At 42.7% G+C, this 27,928-nt stretch overlaps 1 protein-coding gene and 1 long non-coding RNA gene across 27 annotated transcripts in view, besides 6 other annotated features; one reads left to right on the forward strand and one right to left on the reverse strand.

The window, feature by feature from the left end:
• Positions 1–13,844: 13,844 nt before the first annotated feature.
• Positions 13,845–15,224, reverse strand: LOC105372902 (uncharacterized). The gene is made up of 2 exons (XR_922552.3): positions 14,768–15,224; positions 13,845–14,607 (listed from the first exon to the last, which is right to left on the reverse strand). It is a non-coding gene; the product is annotated as an uncharacterized LOC105372902 (long non-coding RNA).
• Positions 14,217–14,336: an enhancer, noted in NCBI's record as "active region_2482". NCBI's record gives its function as "activates an Ori minimal core promoter by ATAC-STARR-seq in GM12878 lymphoblastoid cells {active_cell/tissue: GM12878}" and the evidence as "EXISTENCE:reporter gene assay evidence [ECO:0000049][PMID:35858748]".
• Positions 14,611–15,112: an enhancer, noted in NCBI's record as "NANOG-H3K27ac-H3K4me1 hESC enhancer chr1:211431921-211432422 (GRCh37/hg19 assembly coordinates)". NCBI's record gives its function as "activates a minimal SCP1, AML or CMV promoter by ChIP-STARR-seq in naive H9 embryonic stem cells {active_cell/tissue: H9 hESC(naive)}" and the evidence as "EXISTENCE:reporter gene assay evidence [ECO:0000049][PMID:30033119]".
• Positions 14,611–15,606: a biological region, named in NCBI's record as "NANOG-H3K27ac-H3K4me1 hESC enhancer GRCh37_chr1:211431921-211432422".
• Positions 14,817–15,606: a silencer, noted in NCBI's record as "silent region_1782". NCBI's record gives its function as "represses an Ori minimal core promoter by ATAC-STARR-seq in GM12878 lymphoblastoid cells {active_cell/tissue: GM12878}" and the evidence as "EXISTENCE:reporter gene assay evidence [ECO:0000049][PMID:35858748]".
• The window catches only part of RCOR3 (REST corepressor 3), a 57,020-nt gene continuing 44,489 nt past the window's right edge, over positions 15,398–27,928 (forward strand). For 13 of the 26 annotated variants that reach the window (NR_146432.2, XR_007061956.1, XR_007061955.1 and 10 more), the window contains exons 1-3: positions 15,398–15,761; positions 16,140–16,196; positions 27,264–27,341. Coding sequence is in view for 17 of the 26 variants with exons in the window: in XM_047425046.1 (XP_047281002.1) it covers positions 15,593–15,761; positions 16,140–16,196; positions 27,264–27,341 (304 nt within the window). In the remaining 9 variants the exon portion in view is untranslated. Of the gene's footprint in view, positions 15,762–15,978; positions 16,197–23,806; positions 23,903–27,259; positions 27,342–27,559; positions 27,907–27,928 lie in introns of those variants that run through there. The other 13 variants (NR_146433.2, NR_146434.2, NM_001136223.3 and 10 more) reach the window with 6 other exon arrangements.
• Positions 15,615–16,114: an enhancer, noted in NCBI's record as "H3K27ac hESC enhancer chr1:211432925-211433424 (GRCh37/hg19 assembly coordinates)". NCBI's record gives its function as "activates a minimal SCP1, AML or CMV promoter by ChIP-STARR-seq in primed H9 embryonic stem cells {active_cell/tissue: H9 hESC(primed)}" and the evidence as "EXISTENCE:reporter gene assay evidence [ECO:0000049][PMID:30033119]".
• Positions 15,677–15,976: a silencer, noted in NCBI's record as "silent region_1783". NCBI's record gives its function as "represses an Ori minimal core promoter by ATAC-STARR-seq in GM12878 lymphoblastoid cells {active_cell/tissue: GM12878}" and the evidence as "EXISTENCE:reporter gene assay evidence [ECO:0000049][PMID:35858748]".

Consider the following 27,928-nt stretch of genomic DNA (forward strand, 5'->3'; position numbering starts at 1 on the left):
AAATGCAATTCATAGCTCAGAAGTAATGGGAAGTAATTTCTAATAACTGTCGGAAATGTATAATTCCCATTATTATGAACTTGATACTTACTATGTTTTTGATACTCCATCCAAGAGGGCTGTCCATTGGGTGAGAGGTCACAGTAGTAGAGCTATGAGGTGCATCACCCCCTGTATGGGCTAAGGGACAGTGGAAGAGGTAAAGTTTGAGCTGTATCTCTCATATCAAGGAGCATCTCTCATACAGGTGGAGGATTCTAGAGGGACTTCCAATAACCAACAAAAATATCCCATGCATTTGGGTCTGCTATACCCAGTGAGTGTTACTCAGAGAAACAGCAGTAATCAACAGCATAAAGACTACAACCTGGTTATAGATGGTGAAGTATTAATAAGGAGACAATCTCCCTGCTTCCTCCTCCTCAGACCAGATCAGAGCTGTAAGTACTGAGGGAAGAGAGTGAAGGGCACGGCATGAAGGCCAGGTCCTGAGAGCCACAAATTTGGTTTATGCTGAATGGAATGACATTGTTCTGACAACCAAAATAATGGAATAAGATCAAAGTATATCTAAGAGAGCCCTATATGCAGGGGTGGTGGGGAAGGTGGTGGTGCGTGTATGTGCATGTGTGTGTGGTGTGCCAAAGATTGCAACAGTTACTTTTTCTCATGCCTGTAATCCCAACATTTTGGGAGGTGGAGGCGGGAGGACCATTTGAGTCCAGGAGTTTGAAACCAGCCTAGGCAACATAGCAAGACTCTATCTCTACAAAAAAAATTAAAAATTAGCAGAGCATGGTGACACATGCCTGTAGTCCCAGCTACTGGATAAGCTGAGGCGGGAGAATCACTTGAGCCCAGGAGTTTGAGGCTGCATTGACCCATGATCATGCCCCAGTACTCTAGCCTGGGCAATACAGCAGGACTCTGTCAATCAATTTATCTTCTTTTTGTCCTAATAAGATTCTCCAGGGGACCCGTTTCTTTTTATTGTTATCTACAGGAATATTCCTGTCTAAATAAGAGACCACTGTATAGATTCAGGGTGCCATCTCCTTCGCCAATTCTGGAGAAGCTTTGACGTTATTTCTAATGTCTATATTTAATACTACTAATAATAATTAACATACTATCAATAATTAACATTAATGACTGTTTCTGTCATTATGCCAAATTTATAGATTATTCTACACATTATATTTAGATTACTACCTCCAATCTCCAAGAAAGTATTTTAGGGCCGGGCACGGTGGCTCACGCCTGTAATCCCAACACTTTGGGAAGACAAGGCTGGCGAATCACAAGGTCAGGAGATTGAGACCATCCTGGCTAACACGGTGAAACCTCGTCTCTACTAAAAATACAAAAATTAGCTGGGCGTGGTGGCACGCACCGGTAGTCCCAGCTCCTCAGGAGGCTGAGGCAGGAGAATCGCTTGAACCCAGGAGCCGGAGGTTACAATGAGCCAAGACCGTACCACTGCACTCCAGCCTGGTGACAGAGCGAGAATCCGTATCAAAAAAAAGAAAAAGAAAGTATTTTAGGAGCCTTCTAATCTCATGAGCAGCAAATTTCTGAAACATTTTATTTTCTAGGATTATTTCCACAAATCAATTTAATGTTACTTTGTTTCCATTTTAGTGGTTGATATATCTAATTTTATCCCCAGATCTTCAGATTACCTCATAATTTGGATCCCAGAGATCTCTACAGACTGATTTTAATGAATATATTCCTTAAAAGTCTTTTTAAACAGAAAAAGGTTGTGAATTCTATTTTATAATTTGTGAAACAAAGAAGAGAATGTGGCAGGGCATGGTGGCTCACGCCTGTAATCCCAACAATTTGGGAGGCCGAGGCAGGTGGATCACCTGAGGTCAGGAGTTCGAGACCAGCGCGGCTAACATGGCGAAATCCCGTTTCTACTAAAAATACAAAAATTAGTGGGGTGCAGTGGCGCGTGCCTGTAATCCCAGCTATTCAGGAGGCTGAAGCTGGAGAGTCTCTTGAACCTGGGAGGTGGAGGTTGCAGTGAGCCAAGATGGCGCCACTGCACTCCCAACTGGGCAACAGAGTGAGACCATGTCTCAAAAAAAGAAAAAAAGAAAAGACGAGAATGTGTTAGTAAAGAATACAGCATATTGAGGCAGACTTAAAATGCAAACTTTAGCACGCCTGTAATCCCAGATAGGACGCTGACGCAGGAGTATCTACTTGAACCTGGGAGGCAGCGGTTTCAGTGAGCCGAGATCGCGCCACTGCACTTCAGCCTGAGCGACAGAGCGAAACTCGGTCTCAAAAATAAATAAGTAAATAAATAAACAAAATAAAAATAAATAAATAAAACGTAAACTTTAAAGTTTTCACTGTCTACTCTTTTTATTTAGCCAAATAAATCCTTATAAAATCATATAACAGGAAGAAATTTACATACCTTCTAACTTGCCTGTTTAAAAGACCGTATAAATATTAAATAGAATTCTTCCAGACGAGTAAATGTCTATATTATTGTGAACCCTGAAAATATGAGACAGGTCTCAGTTAATTTATAAAGTTTATCTTGCCAAGGTTGAAGACGCGCACCCATGCGCACGGAGGTTCTGACAACAGATGCCCAAGATGATCAGAGCATGTTTGATTTTACACATCTTAGGGAGACGTGAGACATCAACATGAACATTGGTTTGGTCCGGAAAAGGCGGGACAACTCAAAGCAAAGGCAGGACAACTTGAAGTGGGGAGGGGGCTTCCAGGTCATAGGCAGATAAGAGACAAATGGTTGCATTCTTTTGAGTTTCTGATTACCCTTTCCAAAGGAGGCAATCAGACATGCATCTCAGTGAACAGAAGGGAGACTTTGAATAGAATGGGAAGCAGGTTTTCCCTAACCGGTTCCCAGCTTGACTTTTCCCTTTAGCTTAGTGATTTTGGGGCCCCAAGATTTACTTTCCTTTCACATTATTTTAGGAGATAGAGAGGTTTCATAGTTTCCTGTTCACAAATAACTCTAAGATTTTAAAAAATATATAGAAAATGTTCTTTTTTTCTTTTTTTTTTTTTTTTTTTGAGACGGAGTCTCACTCTGTCTCCCAGGCTGGAGTGCAGTGGTGCAATCTCGGCTCACTGCAAACTCTGCCTCCCAGGTTCAAACCATTCTCCTGCCTCAGCCTCCCGAGTAGCTGGGACTACACGCGCCCCCCACCATGCCCGGCTAATTTTTTTTGTATTTTTAGTAGAGACGGGGTTTCACCATGTTAGCCAGGATGGTCTCGATCTCCTGACCTCGTGATCCGCCTGCCTCGGCCTCCCAAAGTGCTGGGATTACAGACGTGAGCCACCGCGCCTGGCCAGAAAATGTTTTTTATTTTCAACTGCAGTATTCTTTCATTAAACAGACATTGAGAATTTACTCTGAACTAGACATTTTACCTGATGCTGAGGATATAAATTAAGATTCTGTTCCTGCCCTTAAATAGAAATTCAGTTTACTACAGGTGCAAATGCCCACATATGAGACATTTAATACATTCAGTAAGAAAGTTAGAATTCAGGAAGTTCCCAAAATGTTCAGATAAGCTAAAACAAGCCAGGTGACATTAAATAGCAATACATTTATACACACTCAGGAGGGAAAAAAAGGAAAGTAAAAAGCCTGCTGGAGTATAAATGGGGAGAGCTCAGGCTAAATAACTACAGATGTAAAAAAGACCCAGGGGATGCAGATGACACCAAATTTAGTAACCATGTGCACTTGTTGCCAAGAAAGCTAATTTTATGATGGATTAATAAAAATATGCAAAGTCCCCAAAATATTTCCAATTGATTTTGCATCAATCAGATCTCACAGAAGGCAGGGGGTTATCTTATTTGAAGTACAAATTAGAACATTTTCATGAGACAATCAAAAAGGTGAAGGATCTGAAAACAATATCAGTGAAGATTTGTCAAAGGGAATAATGATGTTTAGTCTGTAAAAGAAGCTTAAGTGGGACTTGATTGCTGTTTTTAAGTCTTTAAAGAGCTAGTGTGACAGAGATTGCTAGCTGCTTTTCAGTACTCATTTCCTTTGTAGTCCTTAGCAATGGAACCCTGCTTTTTAGTGGGGCACTTTGAAATTTCCCAACCTCCTTTGAGATTAGATGGATCATGTGACTAGGCTGTGGATGTTGATATATCAGCATAAGTGGTTTGCAAGACTGCCGGGAAGTCTCCTTAATGAGAGGGGTGTGCTCTTTGGCTTTTACTCCTTTGTTCTGCTGCATGTAGCAGGGTCCTGACTGGCACTCTAGCAGCTATTCTGGATTGCAAGGGCAAAAGTTATGCTCCAGGAACAGTGGAGGGCAAAATGGAAGAAGTCTGGATTCCTCACCAGTTCATTGCAGTTGTCATGTCAGCCCAATATTGCCTACCTCTGTACGTCTTTTACATGAAAAGAAATAAAATTTCATTTTGTTTAAGACACTGCTGTTTGGGGTTTCTTTTGTATGTAGTTGAACTTTGGGTACAAAAAAAAACACATATGTTTTCTAAGACTTAAACATTTTTATTTTTGGCCAGGCGCGGTGGCTCACGACTGTAATCCCAGCATTTTGGGAGGCCGAGGTGGGCAGATCACAAGGTCAGGAGTTCAAGACCAGCCTGACCAACATGGTGAAACCCTGTCTCTACTAAAAATACAAAAATTAGCCGGCTGTGGTGGCGCATGCCTGTAGTCCCAGCTACTCGGGAGGCTGAGGCAGGAGAATCGCTTGAACCCAGGAGGCGGAGGTTGCAGTGAGCCAAGATCACACCACTGCACTCCAGCCTGGGTGACAGAGCAAGACTCTGTCTAAAAAAAAAAAAAGGACTTAAACATTTTCAAAAATGAAATGATCAGCCGGGCACAGCAGCTCACACAGTGGCTCACACAGTGGAACTTCGGGAGGCCGAGGCAGGCGGATCACCTGAGGTCAGGAGATAGAGACCATCCTGGCTAACATGGCAAAACCCCATCTCTTCTAAAAACACAAAAATTAGCTGGGCGTGGTGGCACACGCCTGTAATCCCAGCTACTCGGGAGGCTGAGGCAGGAGAATCGCTTGAACCTGGGAGGCAGAGGTTGCAGTGAACCGAGATCGCGCCACTGCACTCCAGCCTGGGGGACAAGAGTGAGACTCTGTCTCAAAAAAAAAAAAGAAAGAAAGAAAGAAAGAAAGAAATGATCTACTCTGTGATGCAGTTATCTATCTCTGTATCTGTTTAAATGGAGATATTCAAATGAAGATCTGTTTAAACTTCTAGTTTCAGAAATGGTGACTATTCCAGGAGGTGAAGATAAAGAAGGTTACCAGACCTCTAAAGTTCCTGTCAGCTCTTAAGATTACATGATTTCTCTGGCTGTGGGGATCAGTAGCTCTAAAAAAATTAATTAAAATTAAAAATTTAAAATTTAAAAAATTACAGTTCCTTCTCCCTATTATGTTTGTGTCCAACTTGAGCTGGCTTAATGTTAGGCAGTCCCCTGGCCATGCTGCTCAGGATCACTTGATTCTATTTTGGAGTTAAACTTATTCTAAGACCAACACTTCTAAAGTAATAATTAGGCTGCATGATGTGGGTCACACCTGTAACCCCAGCACTTTGGGAGGCCGAGGAGAGAGGATCACTTGAGGCCAGGTATTTATCAAGACAGGGAAATTGCAATGGAGAAAACGTAATGATCGCAGAGCCAGCAGTGTGGGAGACTGGAATCTTATTATTACTCAAATCAGTCTTTAAAGACAATTTGTGGGGTAGGGGCTTGGGAAGTGGGGAGTGCTGATTGGTCAGGTTGGAGATGTAATCGTAGGGGAGGGCCAAGTGAGTTTTTCTTGCTGTCTTCTGTTCCTAGGTAGGATGGCAGAACTGGTTGAGCCAGATTACCAGTATGGGTGGTGTCAGCTGATCCATCCAGTGCAGGGTCTGCAAAATATCTCAAGCACTGATGTTAGGTTTTACAATAGTGATGTTATCCCCAGGAGCAATTTGGGGAGGTTCAGACTCTTGGAGCCAGAAGCTGCATGGCCCCTAAACCCTAATTTCTAACCTTGTAGCTAATTTGTTAGTCCTGCAAAGGCAGACTGGTCCCCAGGCAAAAAAGGACTATTATCAATTTCGTTTCGGAGTCAAACCATGAACTGAATTCCTTCCCAAAGTTAGTTCCACCTACGCCCACGAATGAACAAGGACAGCTTAAATGTTAGAAGGAAGGTGGAATTGATTAGGTCTGATCTCTTTCACTGTCATAATTTCCTCAGTTATAATGTTTGCAAAGTTGGTTTCAAGACAAGCCTGAGCAACATGCAAGACCCTGTTGCTGCAAAAAAAAAATTTTACAAATTAGCTTGGTGTGGTGGTGCACACCTGTAGTCGTAGCTACTCAGGAAGGAGGCTGAAGCAGGAGGATTGCTTGAGCTTAGGAATTTGGGGTGGTAGTCAACTATGATCATGCCACTGCACGCCAGCCTGGGTGACAGAGCAAGATCCAAGATCAGTCTCAAAAAAAAAAAAAAAAAAGTAATAATGAAGGAAAACCAAAGAACACATCAATGAACTCTTCAGCATAACTAGTAGCATAAAGAAAATCATAATTAACCTGAATAATATGAATAAAACAGGAGTTCAATTGAGGCCTTTCCTACGTGCCTAGTACAGCTGGTGAATCAAGGTATAGTCCACAATGACTACCCTGCTGAATTTTTTTTTTATTTTTTAAAATGAGAATACTAACACCCCATCCTCTTTCCATCTTGCCTCTTCCATTCTACTTTCTAACTTCAATTAGTTATAACTTTACTTTTATGTTAATTTTTTTACTATAAATATCTGTGTTTTGTCTATTAGTTGATTCTTTAAACACTTATTCCTTGAAACAGTAACACCTATACATGGTAAGAGTCCAACCATGCAAAAAAATACAGAGGAAGATAAAGTCCCCCTTTCCATCCCAGACTGTGACACCTCTTCCTCAGAGAGAACCGGTTTTGATGTACTCTTTCAAAAATATTCTGAGGCTGGGTGCGGTGGCTCACACCTGTAATCCCAGCACTTTGGGAGGCCAAGGTGGGAGGATCATCTGAGGTCAGGAGTTCGAGATCAGTCTGGCCAACATGGTGAAACCCCTGTCTCTACTAAAAAAATACAGAAATTAGCCGGGCATGCCAGCTACTCAGAAGGCTGACGCAGCAGAATCACTTGAACCCAGGAGGTGAAGGTTGCAGTGAGCTGAGATTTTATCACTGCACTCCAGACTGGGCAATAAGACTGAAACTCTGTGCAGGCCCCAATTACTTACTCTTTACTCTTTTTTTTTTTTAACATAAAGTTGCAGCTTTAAACATCCATCTGATAACGGGGGGAAACGATAATAGTGGAGAAATAGCATTTGTACTTCAACTTTAAAATGTTAGATATATATGCTGGGCGTGGTGGCTCACACCTTTACACTTTGGGAGGCCAAGGCGAGTGGATCACCTGAGGTCAGGAGTTCGAGACCAGCCTGAACTATGTGGTGAAACCCCATCTCTACTAAAAATACAAAAATTGGCCAGGTGTGGTTGTGTGCTCCTGTAGTCCCAGCTACTTCAGGAGGCTGAGATGGGAGAATTGCTTGAACCTGGGAGGTGGAGGTTGCAGTGAGCCAAGATCGAACCACTGCACTCAGCCTGGGCAACGGAGCAAGATTCCGTCTCAATAAATAAATAAATAAATAAATAAATAAATAAATAAAATGTTAGATATATACATCTTGTTGGCTGTATCTCTATAGTCACTTTGCTTCAAGACACTACGTGTTGTCACGTGCGTGTGTGTGTGTGTGTGTGTGTGTTCCTTTCCTTATCCATATGAGTACTTTTCTGGAGTAGGCTCACATTTTTTGTTCCTATTTCCTTCCTCCACTTCTCAATCCACTGCAGCTTGGCTTTTCAGCCCATTAATCCCAGTAAAATTGCTTTTACCAGAATCATTCATGACCTCTTACTTGCATAAGCATTTAAGTCTTATCTCTCTTGGCCTGGTGACCCTGTTTCTCTTTGCATCTCTCTATACCCCTGGTTTCAGTAAAGCACAGTCTCCTAGTTCTCTTCCTATTTCTCAATTCCTTTTCACTCTCTTTCATGGATTTTTTTTTTTCTTCTTTTACACTCTTTAATATTGGTGTTCCCTTGCTTTTCATTCTCAGCTCATTATACTTTTCATCTTGTATGCTCTTCTTGTGTGACTTAGTTAGGTCTTTCTATGGTCTGAATGTATGTGTTCCCCCAAAATTCATATGTTGGAACTTAGTACCCACTGTGATTGTATTAAGAGGTGGGGCCTTTTGGGAAACTATTAAGGCATGAGTGGGGTTAGTGCCCTTATAAAAGATGTTGAAGGGAACTGCCTTGCCTCTTCTGCCTTGTGAGGACACAGCAACAAGGCAACATCTATGAAGCAGAGAATGCTCCCCAGACACCAAATCTGCTGATTCCCTGATCTTGGACTTGCCAGCCTCCAGAACTGTGAGAAATAAGTTTCTATTGTTTGTAAATGACCCAGTCTAAGGTATTTTGTTATGCAGCCTGAATGGACTAAGACAGGTCTTACAACCTTGGTTAGCTACAACCAATCACTAGCAACTCCTCTCTCTCCAGTGCTGATATTAATTTTATATCCAACTGCATATTGGATATCTCACTATGGAGTACCCAATATATCCAGAAATAAATTCATTCTTTTTTTTTTTTTTTTTGAGACAGAGTTTAGCTCTTGTTACCCAGGCTAGAGTGCAATGGCACCATCTTGGCTCACCGCAACCTCTGCCTCCTGGGTTCAAGTGATTCTCCTGCCTCAGCATCCCAAGTAGCTGGCATTACAGGCATGCACCACCATGCCCAGCTAATTTTGTTTAGTAGAGATGGGGTTTCTCCATGTTGGTCAGGCTGGTCTCGAACTCCCAACCTCAGGTGATCTGTCTGCCTTGGCCTCCCAAAGTGCTGGGATTACAGGCGTGAGCCACTGCACCCGGCGACTCATCCTTCTTGTCCCATAAAATGGCAAGTCTTCAGTATTCATCATCTCAGTTGTTGACACAATCATCTATCCAGACACCCAAGCCAAAATCCTTGTATCAGATTAAATTCATCCCTTCCTTTTGTCTTTCTATATTCAGTTCGTCCCCAGATTTTGCTAATTTTAGCTACTAAATATTTTTATCTGTCCCTGCCTCTAGCCTTGCTACCACTGCTGTAATTTAAGCCTCATCATTTCTTGATTACTTCAATAGTGTCCTTTTTTTTGAGGGTGGGGGTACAAATTCTATTCCATCTAAAATACCAATTGGACCCAATCTCCTGCTTAGATCTCTCTGATCCTGTTTCATTATCTGTAAATTGCCTAACCCTTTCGAATGCTATAAAAGACTTAATGTGATTCAGAACTTGCCTAACTCTGAGTTCACTTCATATTCTAGGAATACAAAACCGTTTTTAGTTGTCTGACATAACATCTTAATTCAATATTCTTTGCCTTTCCCATACTATTTTCTGTATCTGGAATGCTCATATTTTCCTTTATAAATAGTGCTTTTTTTTTGAGATGGAGTCTTGCTCTGTCACCCAGGCTGGAGTGCAGTGGCATGGTCTCAGCTCACTGCAACCTCCACCTCCTGGGTTTAAGTGATTCTCCTGCCTCAGCCTCCTGAGGAGCTGGGACTACAGGTGCGTGCCACCATACCCAGCTAATTTTTGTATTTTTAGTAAAGACAGGGTTTCACCATGTTGGCCAGGATGGTCTGAATCTCCTGACCTCGTGATCCCGCCCGCCTCGGCCTCCCAAAGTGCTGGGATTACTGGTGTGAGCAACCACGACCGGCATAAACAGTGCTTTCTCTATCCTGTTTAAGAAATGTTTGACTACCTGAAATTATAAAAGTGTTATTGTTTTACCTTTTACATTGAGGTCCACAACGTATTTTGATTTTTTTTTTCAGTATGAGTAGGCATCAAGGTTACTTTCTTTCCACATGATATGCATTGCCCCAGCATTACTTATTGACATGTCAAGTTTTCTCCACATTACTACAGTGTCACCTTTACATAAATAAAATGTTCACATAAGCATCTGTTTGGGAACTCTATTCGATCCATTTTTCTATTTTCTATCCTTACGCCAGTACCACAATAATTTTTATAGATGCTTTAGCAGTAATATCTGGGGGTATAAATCCTCCAACTTTGTTCTTTTTCTAGATTGTCTTGGTTGTTCTTGACCTTCCCAATTTCCATATAAATTTTGGAATCAGCTTGCAATTTAATACACACACACACACACACACACACACACACACACACTCACACCCTGCTGGTATTCTAGTAGAGATTAGCCTAAATCTACTAAATCAATTTGGGTAGAGCAGTATCTTTAGGATATCTAGTCTTCCAGGCCGGGCGCCGTGGCTCATGCCTGTAATCCCAGCACTTTGGGAGGCCGAAGCGGGTGGATCATAAGGTCAGGAGTTCGAGACCAGCCTGACCAACATGGTGAAATCCCATCTCTAGGCCGGGTATGACGGCACATGCCTGTAATCCCAGCACTTTGGGAGGCCGAGGCGGGTGGATTACTTGAGGTCAGGAGTTCGACACCAGCCTGGCCAACATGGTGAAACCCTGTCTCTACTAAAAATACAAAAATCAGTCGGGCATGATGGCAGGCACCTGTAATCCCAGCTACTTGGGAGGCTGAGGCAGGAGACTCACTTGAACCCAGGAGGCGGAGGTTACAGTGAGCCAAGATTGTGCCACTGCACTCCAGCCTCGGTGACAGAGCAACACTCTGTCCCAAAAAAAAAAAAAAAAAAAAAAAAAAAAACCATCTCTACTAAAAGTACAAAAATTAGCCGGGCGTGGTGGTGCATGCCTGTAATCCCAGCTACTCAGGAGGCTGAGGCAGGAGAATTGCTTGAACCCAGGAGGCAGAGGTTGCAGTGAGCTGAGATCATGCCACTGCACTCTAGCCTGGGTGACAGAGCAAGACTCAGTCTCAAAAAAAAGAAAAAAAAAAAAAGAGTATCTCGTCTTCCAATCCATGAGTACAGCCATTCATTTGGGTCTTTAATTTTTCTCAATAATATAATTTTCAGTATAGAGTTCTTACACATCTTTCATAAGATTTATTCCTAAGAGTAGTGGGCTGAATCACATCCCCAAAGACATGAGGTGTTAATCCTTGGAACCTATAAGTGTTACCTTATTTGAAAAAAGGGTCTTTGCAGATGTGATTAGGGTAAGGATCTTGAGACAAGGAGATGATCTTGGATTATCCAGGTGGGCCCTAAATATCATCACATTGTCCTTATATAAAAGAGGTAGAGGCTGGAGTGATGTGGCTTCAAGCCAAGAAATGTCAGCAGACATCAGAAACTGGAAAAAGCAAGGAATAGATTCTTACTCAGAGCCTCTGGAGGGAGCACATCTCTGTTGACACCCTGACTTCAGACTTCTGGTCTCCAGAACTGAAAGAATACGTTGTTTTTTTTTTTTTTTTTTTTTTTTTTTTTTGAGACGGAGTCTCGCTCTGTCACCCAGGCTGGAGTGCAGTGGGGCCATCTCAGCTCATTGAAACCTCTGCCTACCAGGTTCAAAGGATTCTCCTGCCTCAGCCTCCTGAGTAGCTGCGACTAGAGACACATGCCACCACGCCTAGCTAATTTTTGTATTTTCAGTAGAGACAGGGTTTCACCATGTTAGCCAGGATGGTCTCCATCTCCTGACCTGGTGATCCGCCCGCCTCAGCCTCCCAAAGTGCTGGGATTACAGGTGTGAGCCACCGCACCTGGCCATAAGTTTGTTTTAAATCACAGAGTTTGTGGTAATTTGTTACAATGGCCATAGGAAACTCAAACACTAGATATTTGAAATTGTTGATGCATTTGTATACCATTTTTAAAAAATTCATTTTCTTTTTTTTTTTTTGAGATGGAGTCTTACTCTGTTTCCCAGGCTGGAGTGCAGTGGCGTGATCTCGGCTCACTGTGAACTCCGCCTCCCAGGTTCAAGCGATTCTCCTGCCTCAGCCTCCCAAGTAACTGGGATTATAGGCGTGCACCACCATGCCTGGCTAATTTTATTTATTTATTTAGAGACAGAGTTTCACTCTTGTTGCCCAGGCTGGAATGCAACAGCATAATCTCAGTTCACTGCAACCTCTGCCTCTCAGGTTCAAGTGATTCTCCTGCCTCAGCCTCCTAAGTAGCTAGGATTACAGGCACCCACCACCACACCTGGATAATTTTTGTATTTTTAGTAGAGACAGGGTTTTACCATGTAGGCCAGGCTGGTCTCGAACTTCTGACCTCAGGTGATACGCCTGCCTCAGCCTCCCAAAGTGGTGGGATTACAGGCATGAGCCACCACGCCTGGCCAAAAACTCATTTTCTAATTGTTTAATGCTAGCACATAAAAATTTAATTGATTTTTATAGCTAACTGTACCCAGCAACTTGCTTAAAATCACTTAATACTAAGTGTGTAGATTATTGTAATTTTATGCATAAAATGATAGACTATCATGCTTTCTCTAGATAACAGGTTTATGTATTTCTTTCCAATCCTTATACATTTTTCCTTGCCTTTATGCATTGCTGGAATCTGTAGTACAATACTGAAGTACATCCTATCTTTTGACTTTATAACTATGAGAAAGTATTCTGTTCCAAATTTAAAATATGCACCTAGTAAAACTTTCAAAAATACAGTAAAAACACCAGCCAAAAAAATAACAGCCTTCTAGTTAAATCCAAAGGCCTTTTCTTAAGCCCTTCTCATGATTCTGCATCAGTGGACACTGTTTATTAACCCTTTTTTTTTTTTTAGTTTTTTTGAGACAGTCTCGCTGTCGCCAGGCTGGAGTGCAGTGGCATGATCTTGGCTCACTGCAATCTCCGCCTCCCGGGTTCAAGCGATTCTCCTGCCTCAGCCTTCTGAGTAGCTGGGATTACAGGAGCCTGCCACCATATCCAGCTAATTATTGTATTTTTAGTAGAGACGGGGTTTCACCATGTCGGCCAGGATGGTCTCGATCTCCTGACCTCATGATCCGCCTACCTCGGCCTCCCAAAGTGCCAGGATTACAGGCGTGGGCCACCGCGCCTGGCCTATCAAGCCATTCTAAAGCATTCTTTCCATGTCCAGCTTCTTCTTTTCCTCTTCTAACCCATTACAGTCAGGCATTTCCAAGATTTCGCCTTAGACCTTTTCTCTTTGTATATTAGTCCTTGTTAGCTATTGGGAAACATTTTAAGGTCCATTATTATTCAGAACCAGGCCAGCTTCAGGTGCTTTCCTTTTCTTCAGGAACAAAACAGAAACCTATTATACTTTCCTGTTTAAAAAATGCCATACTCTCCCCTCGCCCAGGTTCTTCTCCTAACTGTGGAATGCAGTCTTCTCTGCGTCTGCCCTTTTGTGCTGTGCTCGAATGGAATCTTCTCACTTTACTGGTTTTACTAATAAACAGAAGTTACAAAGGTCCCTAAATCTTTCCAACGTTTTGGTTCCTGATCTATATGCAGATTCCCTTCTGCAGGAAACTGCATGGAGTGCCACAACATTGGGTGTTAGAAAGCTGGCTGGCTCAGAGGCCTCAGAGTGAGGAGCATTTGACAGGGTCTAGCTTTTGTGTTACAGGACCAAAGAAGCTGAATCATGTTCATTAGAAACTGCTGCATAAAGACCAACATACCAGTGTATTAATTTGTAATGAAAAATAACGACTGTCAAGGAAAATGGCTATTCATTTCATTTGGCCAGGGCATTCTCTCCTTGTAGGAAAACTATACGGGAATTAAAATAATATTCAGAACTGCATTTATTGAGAAAAGGAACAGAATAAAAGGTCCAGTTTTATGATTCAAATATTTAATGGAATCACATTAAGCTTTAATAGAGAGATGAGACTATCTCTACTACTAGAACCAGATAGTTTTGTACACACACAGGAGACTTTTCACTTCAGAAATATTTACTTCCCAGGGTTTTCTTGGCTCAATTCCTGAGTTAGATATATTATTTCTCTCAGTAAGGTTTGCTCTGGCCAGAGACGTTCATTTCTGGTTTGATCCACTCTGGATTGACCCATAATAGAATTATTACAAGACAGTATTTTCAAGTGTTTGGAGAGTATCTGCTGAACCCCAATACCGCTCAGCATACATCTGCATACTAGAGGCTCACAGTTAAATCCTCACTTATTTCTACTTATTCGTCAGTGGGGGGGAAGAAATCAGAAAAAGAGGAAAAGAAAATCATAAACAGCCCCCAATGCCAGGCAGCCTGGCACGCAGCAGATGCCCTCAAATCTGGTGAAGGAATAAACGCAGTTTCCTACTCCTTTCGCCGAATGCAATTCAGAAAAGCATTACAGAGCACAACTCCTTCCAGGCTGGAAACGCTGCCAGAAAGCAGCTCTCGCTTCACCTCTGCCGGGGGACTCCGCCCTCTCCCCCAGCGCTCCAAGCGGAGACCGCAGGTCAGCAAGAACTGAAAACGCGTCTACTGGGCCAGGTCTCATGTTTATCTTATTTCCCCCTCACTCCACAGCACTCACTCCCCAGCTATTAAAACAGAGAAGAAAAAAAAGGAAAGAAAGATGGTAAGAATAAGACAGTAGGGTTAGGATCGGGGAGAGGGGCTTCAGCAAAAAACAGTTGCATCGCTCAGCCCCGGAAACTCATCCCGTCATCCCCAGACTCTCTCTCGGGAACTGGGCCCTACTTCAGAGATCCAGAAACAAAAATTGTAGCGTCGAGATGGTTAGGGCCGAGTCTACTTCTTTCGCCGGTTGGGCCTCAGAGCCCCAAGGCCGCCCTGCTATACTGCGCGACTGCACCGCGGGCCAGAGCGCGCCCCTAGCTCGAGGCTGCCAGCGGACACCGGGAAACTGAGCGGCCTGCGGGTCCAGACATCTGAGGAACGCCGCGCTCAGGCCCGTGCCTGCAGCCCGGTCCGCAGAGGGGGGGGGCCGCTCCCCCCGGTCGCCCAGTCGGGTCGCGCCGGTCCTTTCTCAGGGTGACCGCGTTCCTTCCGCCCAGAGAGGGCAAAGAGTCCCGCTCCCTCGTGTGCATCTCCCGCCCGCGCTCCGGAGCGCCCCCTAGGAAGAAAGCCCGAGCGGCGGCCACGCCTCGGTGGCGATTTTATTAGCGCTTGGTTGGGGTGGCCCGGCTGCCTGCGAGCGGGGTTTCCCCGCCCCTCCCCCCTTCCCCTCCCCCCAGGCGGCCGGAACCTCCCTGCGGAGCGGAGTGATACCGGCGGCGGCGTAGAGCGCGGTGCGGCCGAGGGGCGCCCGGGACTGCGCGGGGCGGGCGGCGGCGGAGGGAGGAGGGGAGAGAGGCGGGGCCGGGGCGGGTTGTTGTGAGGCGACTGCGCTACTGCCGGAGCGGGGCGGTTATGGCGGCTCCATATTAACAGCCTCCTCCTCCTCCGCCGCCGCCGCCGTCTCCTCCTCCTCCTCCTTTCCCTCCCGCCCGCGCTCTAAGCCATCTCCGCCTTCACCCTGACGCCTGCCTCTTCCCCTCACCTTTCCCCCTCCCCTGTTCTACCATGCCCGGCATGATGGAGAAAGGGCCCGAGTTACTGGGGAAGAACCGATCGGCCAACGGCAGCGCCAAGAGCCCGGCAGGCGGCGGCGGCAGCGGCGCCTCGTCCACCAACGGCGGGCTGCACTACTCAGAGCCCGAGAGCGGCTGCAGCAGCGACGACGAGCACGGTGGTAGCCTCGAACTCCTCCCCGCCAGCCCGCCTGCCCCCCTCCCTCTTCCCCTCCCCCAGCCCCCTCCCCTCGCCGCTCTCCCGCCCTCCCTCCCCTCAGAGCCTGGGCGCTGCGGTAGCCTCGAACTCCCGGTGCAGTGCAGCAGCACCCCCGCGACCCCCCGTCCCTCCGCCCTCGACCAATCCTCCGCCTTTGCCCCCCCCCGCTCCCCGCCCCCAATCCGCTGCCATCTCCCGGAGTGCCCCGAGTTGATATCTTCCCATCCACCCGCCGCTTCTTTCCTCCATCTAGCGATTTTTATTTTTTAAGTGTCTCTTCCTTTTTCTTTCTTTTCTTCTTTTTTATTTTTTATATATATTTTTTGGCATTGCTTTGCAGATGTTGGGATGAGAGTCGGAGCCGAATACCAAGCTCGGATCCCTGAATTTGATCCAGGTAGATATATTTGCTTAAGCAAAATCTCATATCCCCTTTCCTGGGCTTGGTTTGGGGTGGACGGGCTAGGAGTCCGGGCATGGGGCCGGGAGGGGATGCGGGGTTGGGCTGGGCAGGCATCCGTGGCGGGGAGGCTGTCAGGCTTGGCCGGGCTGTGACACTGGGCGTGTGGGCAGATGTGTGCACTGCAAGGTTAACATGGTTCCCTTCGGAGGCCACTTGCCCGCTGGGGGCATCGCCTTCCTAGCCCTTGAGCCTGGGGCAGGGTCGGGGTGAGCAGAGGGAGACGGCCCTTGGCGGAGTCCAGGGTCCGAGGCCGCGGGCTGGAGGAGCAGGCGTGCGGACTGTATGGACGAACCGTGCAAATGTCAATTGCCACCTCGCTCGCCCCGGCGCCGAGGGCCGCGCTCTGTCGGGCGGGTGGCAGAGGCCAGGGCGGCTGTCACCGGCCGGGGAAGCCAAGGGCGAGCCCTGCCGACCTGTGCGCAGCCGGGATTGTCTCTTTTCTTTCTTTTTGGCTAGGTGGTGTAGCTTTGGTCGCGGCAGCTCTGCGGAGTGCAGGAGCCGCGGAGAGAAAGGGGTGGGGGAAGGGGGTGGGGAGACGCCAGCGGCAGGCACACCTCGCTCGCCAGCCAGCTCTGGGAAGTTAGACCACAGGACAGTGGCTGCAGCTGCCAAGGAGACATTTTCTCCCCGACCAGCCAGGTTCCAGCGTCCTCTGCCAACCCAGCTTGCGGGCTCCCTGTCTACTTTTCTCCAAACAGGCTCCCCGGCGGTCACGAGATTTCAGCCTGTGCAGGGATTGGGCGAGAGTTCCGCATATGGAGGCGCCCTTGCTGGAGCCTCTCGGAGTGGAGCGCGTTTCCTTCTCCCCACCCTGCCTGAGACCCTTCTCAGTTAAGGCTTTGGACAGACTTTGAAAGGGACCCACCTTTTTTTTTCCTCCTTACAGTTTGTCAATTTTTGCCCAGTGCCCATAATATTGCGTTTGTGTCAGACATTGGATTTCTATGTTAGATATTAAAGAGCTTACTTGTATTTTCTTGGAGAGAAACAATGTTTAATTATTAGGATACAGAGGCGTGTTTTTTTGTTCCTCCTCTCCCCATTAAGACAATGCAAAATGATATTTACCAACCATTTGGATTTCAGATAGCAGCTCTTCCTCCTGTCCCAAGTGAGGAGGATGAAAAGTAATGAGTCGGGACAGTCTCATTTTTAATAGGTGAAAACAGTGATGCAAGAGTGTTCACTAGATTTGGGTTGCCTTCTAAATGACTGGCTGGGAATACATTTTATTCAAAGACTATCAGTGTGTATACTGATGGGCTTCAAATAATTTTAAATGTTTTATGAAACTAATTTTCTTTATTGATGTTGCTAGTAGGTGAATGGCACTTTCACACCACTCTGCTCCCTTTGGGTTTACTTGACATTTGGAAAGAGCACATTTTGGCTTTAAGAGACTGAATTCACGCCAGGCGCGGTGGCTCACGCCTGTAATCCCAGCACTTTGGGAGGCTGAGGCGGGTGGATCACGAGGTCGGGAGATCAAGACCATCCTGGCTAACACGGTGAAACCCCGTCTCTACTAAAAATACAAAAAATTAGCCGATCGTGGTGGCACGCACCTGTAAACCCAGCTACTCGGGAGGCTGAGGCAGGAGAATCATTGCTTGAACCCGGGAGGCGGAGGTTGCAGTGAGCCGAGATCACGCCATTGCACTCCAGCCTGGGCAACAGAGTGAGACTCCATCTCAAAAAAAAAAAAAAAAAACTGAATTCAATTCCTAACTCCCAACTCTTCTTTTTGTGGTCTGAGCAAGCCACAGGCTTTCCCTGAGCCTCAGTATTCCTAGCTATAAAAACTTTTTTTTTTTTTTTTTTTTTTGAGGTGAAGTCTTACTCTGTCGCCCAGGCTGGAGTGCAGTGGCGTAATCTCGGCTCACTGCAACCTCTGCCTCCCGGGTTCAAGCGATTGTCCTGCCTCAGCCTCCTGAGTAGCTGGGACTACAGGCACACGCCACCATGCCTGGCTAATTTTTGTATTTTTAGTAGAGATGGGGTTTCACTGTGTTGGCCAGGCTGCTCTCGAACTCCTGACCTCGTGATCTGCTGCCTCGACCTCCCAAAGTGTTGGGATTACAGGTATGAGCCATCGCGCCCAGCCTATAAAAACTAATGGAATTCTTGCCAGGATTAAATGATGGGCATATGGCAATTATTCTATAAACATTAAAATTTGTAATTATGAAGAATTATTCTGGATATATTCACACCTTTCTGATTTGGAGCTTTCATTGGGAGTCTGTGTGGTTTTTTTTGGTAGTGATAGTTATTTCCAAATTATACCTCAGCAGCTACAATTATTTTTTAAGTTAATAAACATACCTATATTTTTGCCCCAGTGGGTAGATTTCTGAGTCAATATTTATTTCATAGACAACTATATACAGTTCGATTAGGGGTCTTGTGTTTAAGAGCCAGACTTAATGCTGGAACAAACTTGTACATGCCATAGCATTACATTGGAAAGCATTGATCTGATCATTGGAAAGCATCTTTTTTGTTTCAGGATAAACACTGGAACAAATTTCAAAATTTTGAGAATAATCACTTAAACAGAATAATATTAATGTGATTTTGCATGGCCACTGGTTTTTTTTTTTTTGAAGAAGCTATTTTTATCTTTATTTTTTAAACAACTTTTTTTTTTTATTATTATACTTTAAGTTTTAGGGTATATGTGCACAATGTGCAGGTTAGTTACATATGTATACATGTGCCATGCTGGTGTGCTGCACCCATTAACTCGTCATTTAGCATTAGGTATATCTCCTAATGTTATCCCTCCCCCCTGCCCCCACCCCACAACAGTCCCCAGAGTGTGATGTTCCCCTTCCTGTGTCCGTGTGTTCTCATTGTTCAGTTCCCATCTATGAGTGAGAACATGCGGTGTTTGGTTTTTTGTCCTTGCGATAGTTTACTGAGAATGATGATTTCCAATTTCATCCACGTCCCTACAAAGGACATGAACTCATCATTTTTTATGGCTGCATAGTATTCCATGGTGTATATGTGCCACATTTTCTTAATCCAGTCTATCATTGTTGGACATTTGGGTTGGTTCCAAGTCTTAGCTATTGTTAACCAACTTAATTGACGATAATATTTTGCCTATTTTGAAACCTAAATAGAATATTTGAGGAGGAAAAAAATCACTGAAATGTTACTTTTTTTAAAGTCATTGAAGTCATATTTTCAATTTATTTACTCAGACTAATTGAATTTTATTATTAGAATAAGGATAAACATCACTTTCTGTAAGTTCACTTACTCATTTTCTGCTTAATAGTCTTCTACAGAAGCATGCTAAACCTAAGGACACAATTAAAACTAGCTACCATTTAAACTTAGGAGGGCTTTTCTTATCTGGTAAAAGCTAATCTTATCAATCAAATGTAGATTATTAGTTATTGGGCATTTTTTACAGGGAAATACTGGGCCTCTGTCATTCAACATTATACTGCTGATCTATTTTATTCTTATTTATAAGTGTTGTGCTGTTGTGTGAAGTTTTTCACATCAGTATAATTAGGTGAGAATATAAACATTACCTTGGGAAAAATAATAGATGAAAAGTTTTTTTTGTTTTGTTTTTTTTTTGTTTTTTTTAGGCAGAGTCTTGCTCTGTCCCCCAGGCTGGAGTGCAGTGGTGCGATCTTGGCTCACTGCAACCTCCACCTCCTGGGTTCAAGCAATTCTGCCTCAGCCTCCCAAGTAGCTGGGACTACAGGCACATGCCACCATACCCGGCTAATTTTGTTTTTTGTATTTTTGTAGAGAAAAGGTTTCACCATGTTGGCCGGGCTAGTCTTGAACTCCTGGTCTCAGGTCATCCGCGTGCCTTGGCCTCCCAAAGTGTTGGGATTACACGGTTGAGCCACCACACCCTGCCAAAAAGATATTTATTAATTATGGAAATTGAGAAATGGTTAGCTCCTCTCTCTTCTCTTTCTCATTATCTTTGTTTCCTAAGCCACTCAATCCATCTTTATGGAGATTGTTGACCCATAGCTCTAGAAGTCATTTGGAAGAAAAATTCCTTGGGTGCTGAGACTGTAAAATCTGCTATGTAGAATGTAGAAAAATTGAGAGGATTTTTTACAGAGACTAATTTTATTGGAAAAGGTGATACTGATGATGATAAGAGTTAAGCAGGTAAAGAATGAATTGGCCAGGGGTCATAGCTCATGAGTATAATCCCAGCTCTTTGGGAGGCTGAGGTGAGAGGATCGCTTGAGCCCAGGAGTTTGAGACCAGCCTGGGCAACATAGTGGGACCCTGTCTCCACAAAAAATTCAAAAATTAGCCAAGTGTTGTGGCATACCACATCTGTACTTCCAGCTACTTAGAAGACTGAGGTGGGAGATCACTTGAGTCCAGGAAGTTGAGGCTGCAGTAAGCTATGATGGCGCCACTGTACTATACCCTGGGTGACAAAATAAGACTTGGTCTCAAAAAAAGAAAGAATTATTAAAGTGATTATTTTAGGAAATATGAGAAGAATTGAGATTTATATTGGAATTACTGAAGTTAAGAGATTAGGAACAGTTTACCTTAATTATGGAACCATTGATAATAATGTCTTTACTAACTAGATTTCTGATTATTTTCTTTCCGTTGTTCACTAGATCTTCCCAACGTTTATTTAGTGCCTACTAACTGTACTTACATCATGAGGAACAATTTTTGTGTGTAGAGGCTAATTTTTTATCATATGCCTTTAATCTAATATGGCATAATAACCTTGGATGAACTACCTGACTTCTCTAGGCCTTAGTTTTCTCGTTTGTAAAAGGTTGATGATGTTAAGTATATCACAAGATTAAGTGAAAATTAATGTGTGTAAAGTAGTGGTTTTCAAAATACTTTACTTACATATCCATGAAATAATTTTGAAAAAAGATTCACGTATTTTTAGTCGACATCTGTTATTTGTCACTGAGTTTAAATAGTTGAAAAATATAATCTGTAGTGTATTGAAAATATTAAGTTTGATAATAAAGTCTTTATCTGTATTTTAAATGTATCCAATTAAATATAAATACTACAGTGATGTGATAGTACTAGTTTGTAAAATATGTAGACAAGCTTCTAACATTCTCAAAGTTTACATTGTTCCTTTTTGTCTTTGAAGTCATTTCCATGCATTTTCTCCACAGAATTTTATCATATATAATTTTTTTTGTGCTTTGAAGTGCTTTATTGGGCCCGGCGCGGTGGCTCACGCCTGTAATCCTGGCACTTTGGGAAGCCAAGGCAGGTGGATCCCTTGAGGTCAGGAGTTCAAGACCAGCCTGGCCAACATGGCAAAACCCCATCTCTACTAAAAATACAAAAAATCAGCTGGGCGTGGTAGTGGGCACCTGTAATCCCAGCTACTTGGGAGGCTGAGGCAGGAGAATTGCTTGAACCTGGGAGGCGGAGGTTGGAGTGAGCCGAGATTGCACCATTGCACTCCAGCCTGGCGACAGAGCGAGACTCTGTCTCAAATAAATAAATAAAATAAAATAAAAGTGCTTTATTGATCACCTGTGAGTAAGGTTCTGAGTGTTAAATCTCTTCTGGCTTGAGTTATTACAATTAGTGCATAATTGATTAAAACTCTAGTAGTTATGGTGCCTTGAGTAAAGGAGGGTTTTCCTGACACCCTGTTTGAAACCCTGGAGGGTTTAAAATTTTGGGCCATGTACTCTTGTAAGATTTGGAATACATGAGAGATGGTGCCCTTTTATTTTTTTTAAGTGAGAGAAGGGTATTTGTGAAGAGAGATGATGGAAGTAGAATGAATCTAACCTCTTATCATTTGACCGCAGGTGAGTTTTCAGGCAGATTGTCTTGGGAAAGAGAAAATAGGGAAGTTAAAGTTGTGAAAATTGATTCTCTTAAAATTTTCTCATGCTCATGTACCCTGGGAAAGTCTTTGTTTACCCAAGTTTGAAGTTAGTACATATTAAGTATATAATTTAGAACCTAGTATATATAAATAGTAAAATGTTAAAATATGTTTAGTACAGCTTAATATTCTCAATATTTAAGTTCTTTATATAGTATATTTGTTCCATGATCTTCGTCAAAGTCCTTATTTTTAATGTCTAGATTTTTATTTTTATTGATGTAGAAATCCTAGTTTATCGAATTATATTTTCCTTTCCTAGTTGTTGGTTTTCTCCAGTAGTCTTATAAATGCAAGACTCCAGTTAAAAGATCTAATAATTTCAAAGGGATTAACCTTTAAATGTTTTTACTTAAAACTGAAGACAACTGATTGTTCAACAATTTCATTTTCAGAACTGATAACGCTACTATAGTCTTTTAAAATTATGGTAGCTTGCTATCTAGGTTTTGGTTTGTTTTTTAATCTATTCAGAAGATAAGGTACTTCTAAGGCATGGTTGTTTTGTTGGTGAGTCAGGTTTGAGTCTCAGTACTGTTTCTAAATATCAGATAGTTTTGAGGTATAATCTTAAATATTGTTACTGTTAAAGACAAAATAAACATGGGGTTAATGTCTGTTCAATGTTTTAGTTCATTCTGACTTTTACAATGAAAAAGGTAAAACTTATTGGACACAAAGTGTCCCAAGAGGTAGATAAGTTATTTTTAATAGCACATGTTACTTTCTCCTGTTTTATAGGAAAGGAATCACGTCTGAATTGTGAGAAAAACATAATGGGTCATTTACAGCTATTCAATTTCATTTTCAAGGGGTTGGTGAGAGAGGACATCAGCCGTTTTTGAGATACAGCCCCTTGAGGATTTATTCATTTATTTTGTAGTTGATAAGGTGAGAAGAAGCCTTTTTAGGATAAAGAAGGAAGGAACTTAAGAAAGAACTGTCTTCAATAAGCATATACTAGTAATAATTAAGTCTTAGGTAATGCTTACCATATGCCACGTACTTACATTAATTCATTTAATTTTTGAGCAACTCTGTCAGGTAGGTACTTTCATCATCCATATTTTTAGAGAGAAGGAAAACTGAGGCACAGACAGATTAAATAGATTTATCCAAGGTGACACAGCTACCAAGTAGCAGAGCTGGTATTCAGACTCTGGGAGTTGGGCTTCGTAGTTCATATTCTTAACCATTGCACTGAAATATCCCTTACTTCCTGTATCAGTCATCTCTTGGGCCTAGTTGACACATATATAATTGAAAATAGTAGAGTCCAGTTCAGAGTTAGGGAAGGAAAATTGCGAAATGCTTAATTAGGCATTCTCTGCTATCAGGATTGCTCTATGTATGCTGCTCCTCTATCTACCTGCTCACCGATATTGGAAGAGCTGTTAGTTCCCACAACTTGGATACCAGTTTCTGTCAGATGGGGCCCTTAATTACAATGCTAATAATGTTTTTGAAACTTATTTATTTATTTATTGAGACAGGGTCTTGCTCTGTTGCCCAGGCTGGAGTGCAGTAGTGTGGTCATGGCTCACTGCAGCCTTGAACTCCTGGGCTCAGGCGATCCTCCCACCTCAGCCTCTTGAGTAGTTGGGACTACAGGTGCACACGATCACATCCAGCTAATTTTTTGTGTTTTTAGTAGAGACAAGGTCTTGCTATGTTTCCCAGGCTGGTCTCAAACTCCGGGGCTCAAGCCATCCGCCCTCCTTGGCCTCCCAAAGTGCTGGGATTATAGGTAAGAGCCACTGCACCCAGCCTGTAGCTGTTACCTTTTATGGGGAAAAATTTAAAAAAAGTTTAATATCTCTTTGAGAAGGGACATTTAATGAAGATATTTTAATTCAGACTTTCTGTAAGGCAAGAATGAGATGCAGGGAAATTATGTTTAAATATTTAGCATGATATGCCGTTAAGACTTGGGACTTAATGGAAAACTTTCTTTGTTGCATTTCGTGTTCTATTAAGTAGGATTTAAATGATCTTATTGTCATGACCATTGTGCAGAATAATCAGTTCCATGTTAAAGGATTGAAGTTTAGGATATTCACTTTATATAACATTAGATTTTATGAATTAAGTAAAGGCTTCTGACCAACTTAAATAGGATTTTTGTTTTATTACCATTGAGTGGGTTGGCTATTTTGTGTTTATATTTTTATTTTACAGGGTTAAAACTTAAATATGTATCTTAATATTGAAGTTTTAAAAAGATATATCAAAGTTTCTTTTCTTTCTTTTTTTTTTTTTTTTTTTTTTTTTTTGAGATGGAGTTTCGCTCTTGTTGCCCAGGCTGGAGTGCAATGGTGTGATCTCGGCTCACCGCAACCTCCGCCTCCCAGGTTCAAGTGATTATCCTGCCTCAGCCTCTTGAGTAGCTGGGATTACAGGCATGCGCCACCACACCCGGCTAATTGTATTTTTAATAGAGATGAGGTTTCTCCATGTTGGTCATGCTGGTCTCGAACTCCCGACCTCAGGTGATCCGTCCACCTCGGCCTCTCAAAGTGCTGGGATTATAGACTTGAGCCACAGGGCCTGGCCAGTTTATTTTCATTGAATATAAATTTTTTCATAATGAACCTTAATTTGGCATTTTCCTAAATTCTCAGCTCATGCTTTTGTGTCCTTTTTTATTAAAGATATGACAAAATACAAAAGGCTTTCGAATACTTTGGTAGTGTTTCTTCTTTCAGTTCTCTTTTCTTCTTAATTTTCCTTATAACATACATAGAATTTTAAGATAAATTTATATTTTATAGCAATGTATGATTTTTTAACTAAAATTTGTTGATCAGTAATGATATATGATGCTTCTCTAAAAATAAAAATATTTAATGATATTATATTATTGCCTGATAGATAACTTCTCTAGCTGGAGATTATAGTAGTAGTTCTCTGACCCCTAGAAATGAATGTTCTTCATTCCAAGTATCTTATAACTTTATAAAGGATTACAGTTTAACCTCGGAATTATTTTAATATGTCAGTAATTTTGGAATTCTGGCTATTAATGGTAATTATCGGTACCACATAAAAGTCATTTATGAGCCGGGTGCAGTGGCTAACACCTGTCATCCCAGCACTTTGGGAGGCTGAGGCGGGTGGATCATCTGAGGTTGGGAGTTCGAGACTAGCCTGACCAACATGGAGAAACCTTGTCTCTACTAAAAATACAAAGTTAGCCAAGCATGGTGGCGTGTTCCTGTAATCCCAGCACTTTGGGAGGCTGAGGCAGGCGGATCACGAGGTCAGGAGTTCAAGACCAGCCTGGCCAACATGATGAAACCCTGTCTCTACTAAAAATAACAAAAATTAGCTGGGTGTGGTTGTGCATGCCTGTAATCCCAGCTACTTAGGAGGCTGAGGCAGGAGAATCGCTTGAACCTGAGAGGCAGAGGTTGCAGTGAGCTGAGGTCACGCCATTGCACTCCAGCCTGGGCAACAAGAGTGAAACTTCATCTCAAAAAAAAAAGTGGCAGCAATGCTTCATTTGTTGGTAGTTTTAATGAATTAAATGCAACTAAGAATTAGGTAGACCAGAAAAATATCACTGAATGATTAAAATAATAGAATCTACAGGCACGTAACTTGGCTCTGGCATAGCTATCTCAGGCCTTCATTCATGCTATTGTTTCTTAATTTATATGAAGTTTTAATAGGGCTTGATTTTTCTGACTTTCTAGGCTATAAAATATTAGAAATAAATTAGAGGCTAGGTGTGGTGGCATGCAGCTGTGATCCCAACTACTTGGGAGGCTGAGGCAGTAGGATTGCTCGAGGCCAGTAGTTCAAGACCAGCCTAGGCAGCATAGCAAGACTTCACATGTTTAAAAAGAAAGAAAGAAATTAGAAAATGTTACTATTCTTCCAGGTTAGAAGTAGACTTTCAGATTATATTAAGAAGAAGTTGCGTTAACTTTTTTATCTTGACTTTTTTTTTTTTTTGAGATGGAGCCTGGCTCTGTTACCCAGGCTGGAGTGCAGCTGTGTGACCTCGGCTCACTGGCAACCTCTGCCTCCTGGGTTCAAGCAGTTCTCCTGCGTCAGCCTCCCAAGTAGCTGGATTACAGGTGCGCGCCACCACACCTGGCTAATTTTTGTATTTTTAGTAGAGACGGGATTTCACTATGTAGGCCAGGCTAGTCTTGAACTCGTGACCTCAGGTGATCCGCCTGCCTTAGCCTCCCAAAGTGCTGGGATTACAGGCATGAGCCACCACACCCAGACTTTTATCTTTTTATCTTGACTTTTCTTCTAATGTAGATCACAAACTTTTATAAATATAAGATGTAATAAATGAACTTAATTTAAAAGTGAATAGCTGGCAGACCCTTAGCAAGAAATAAAATTAAATAAAAAGCAGACAAAAGTGTTTAAAAATTACAGCAATCTTGGCCCATTTAGACATGGGGCAAAAAAAAAAAATACCTGAGGCATTCTCTCTCGTTTAAAAGTCTTGAATTTTTAATGATGATCTCTAAGTAATGTATGGAAGTTTAAATCAGATTTATTACCTTCTGTCAAGTAGAGATATGTAATGTACTGAAGAAAGTCTTTTTTAGTTTAAAAGGGATAAACCGGCATTTGCAAAATTTCCTTAGTTTTTATAAGCAAAATATTTACTATATGTAATGTAAATCTGTTTTCCTTCTGTTTTCCTATATTTTCTTTACTTGTCCTCCTTTGCTGCAGGTACTGTACTAAAACAGAAATAAAGCTTACTTTTTTTTTTTTTTTTGAGACGGAGTCTCGCTCTTTCACCCAGGCTGGAGTGCAGTGGCGCATCTCAGCTCACTGCAAGCTCCGCCTCCCGGGTTCACGCCATTCTCTTGCCTCAGCCTCCCTGGTAGCTGGGACTACAGGTGCCTGCCACCAGCCTGGCTAATTTTGTTTTTGTATTTTTAGTAGAGACGGGGTTTCACCATGTTAGCCAGGATGGTCTCGATCTCCTGACCTTGTGATCCGCCTGCCTCGGCCTCCCAAAGTACTGGGATTACAGGCATGAGCCACCGTGCCTGGGCAGCTTACTTTGTTTCTACTTATTTTCAGTGTAAATAAAATCCATCATATTCAAAGTAATTATCTTTTTCCCCCAGGTGCTACAAAGTACACAGATAAAGACAATGGAGGGATGCTTGTATGGTCTCCATATCACAGTATCCCAGATGCCAAATGTAAGTTTTCTGAAGTTGAATGTTAATGTCAGCAGGAGTTTATCAGCCAATTCAAAATATGACTTACGTTTGTTTTTGGGTCTTATAGATTCTCATAAGAAAACAGTTTTGTCTTTGTTTTATTTTTTATTTTTTTATTTTTTTTTTAATGGAGGTTGTTATATTAGAATGTTTTTCCTTTTGGAAGATAGTGGGTTGATCATTCCAATTTGTGTCAGGCCCATGAAGAATGAAAAAACCTAGGATCTGATGGCATTGCTGCTTAAATCCTCAAGCAGGGGAGGGAGTTACTATGTAGACATCTGCCCAGGCTTTTCCTCAGTATATGGAGCGGTAAAGACATGCCTTCAAACTTCAAAGAGCCCACTATCATTACCATTTTAAAGAGGAAAGGGGAAAGAACTGACTTCAGCAGCCATCAGGTCATCTTTGTGCTCTCCATTTCTGGACGGAGACCTTCTGGATCATTGACCATGCACTTCTTGAATCATGGTGTGGCTTTAGACTTCAATGTGATGTAGCGGACCTGATCCTTTGCGGCACATCAGATATAGGAAACGTGCAGGTAACAACACTAAGATACCCAC

This window comes from Homo sapiens, chromosome 1 (assembly GCF_000001405.40).
Source record: "Homo sapiens chromosome 1, GRCh38.p14 Primary Assembly".
Classification (NCBI taxonomy): Eukaryota; Metazoa; Chordata; class Mammalia; order Primates; family Hominidae; genus Homo; species Homo sapiens.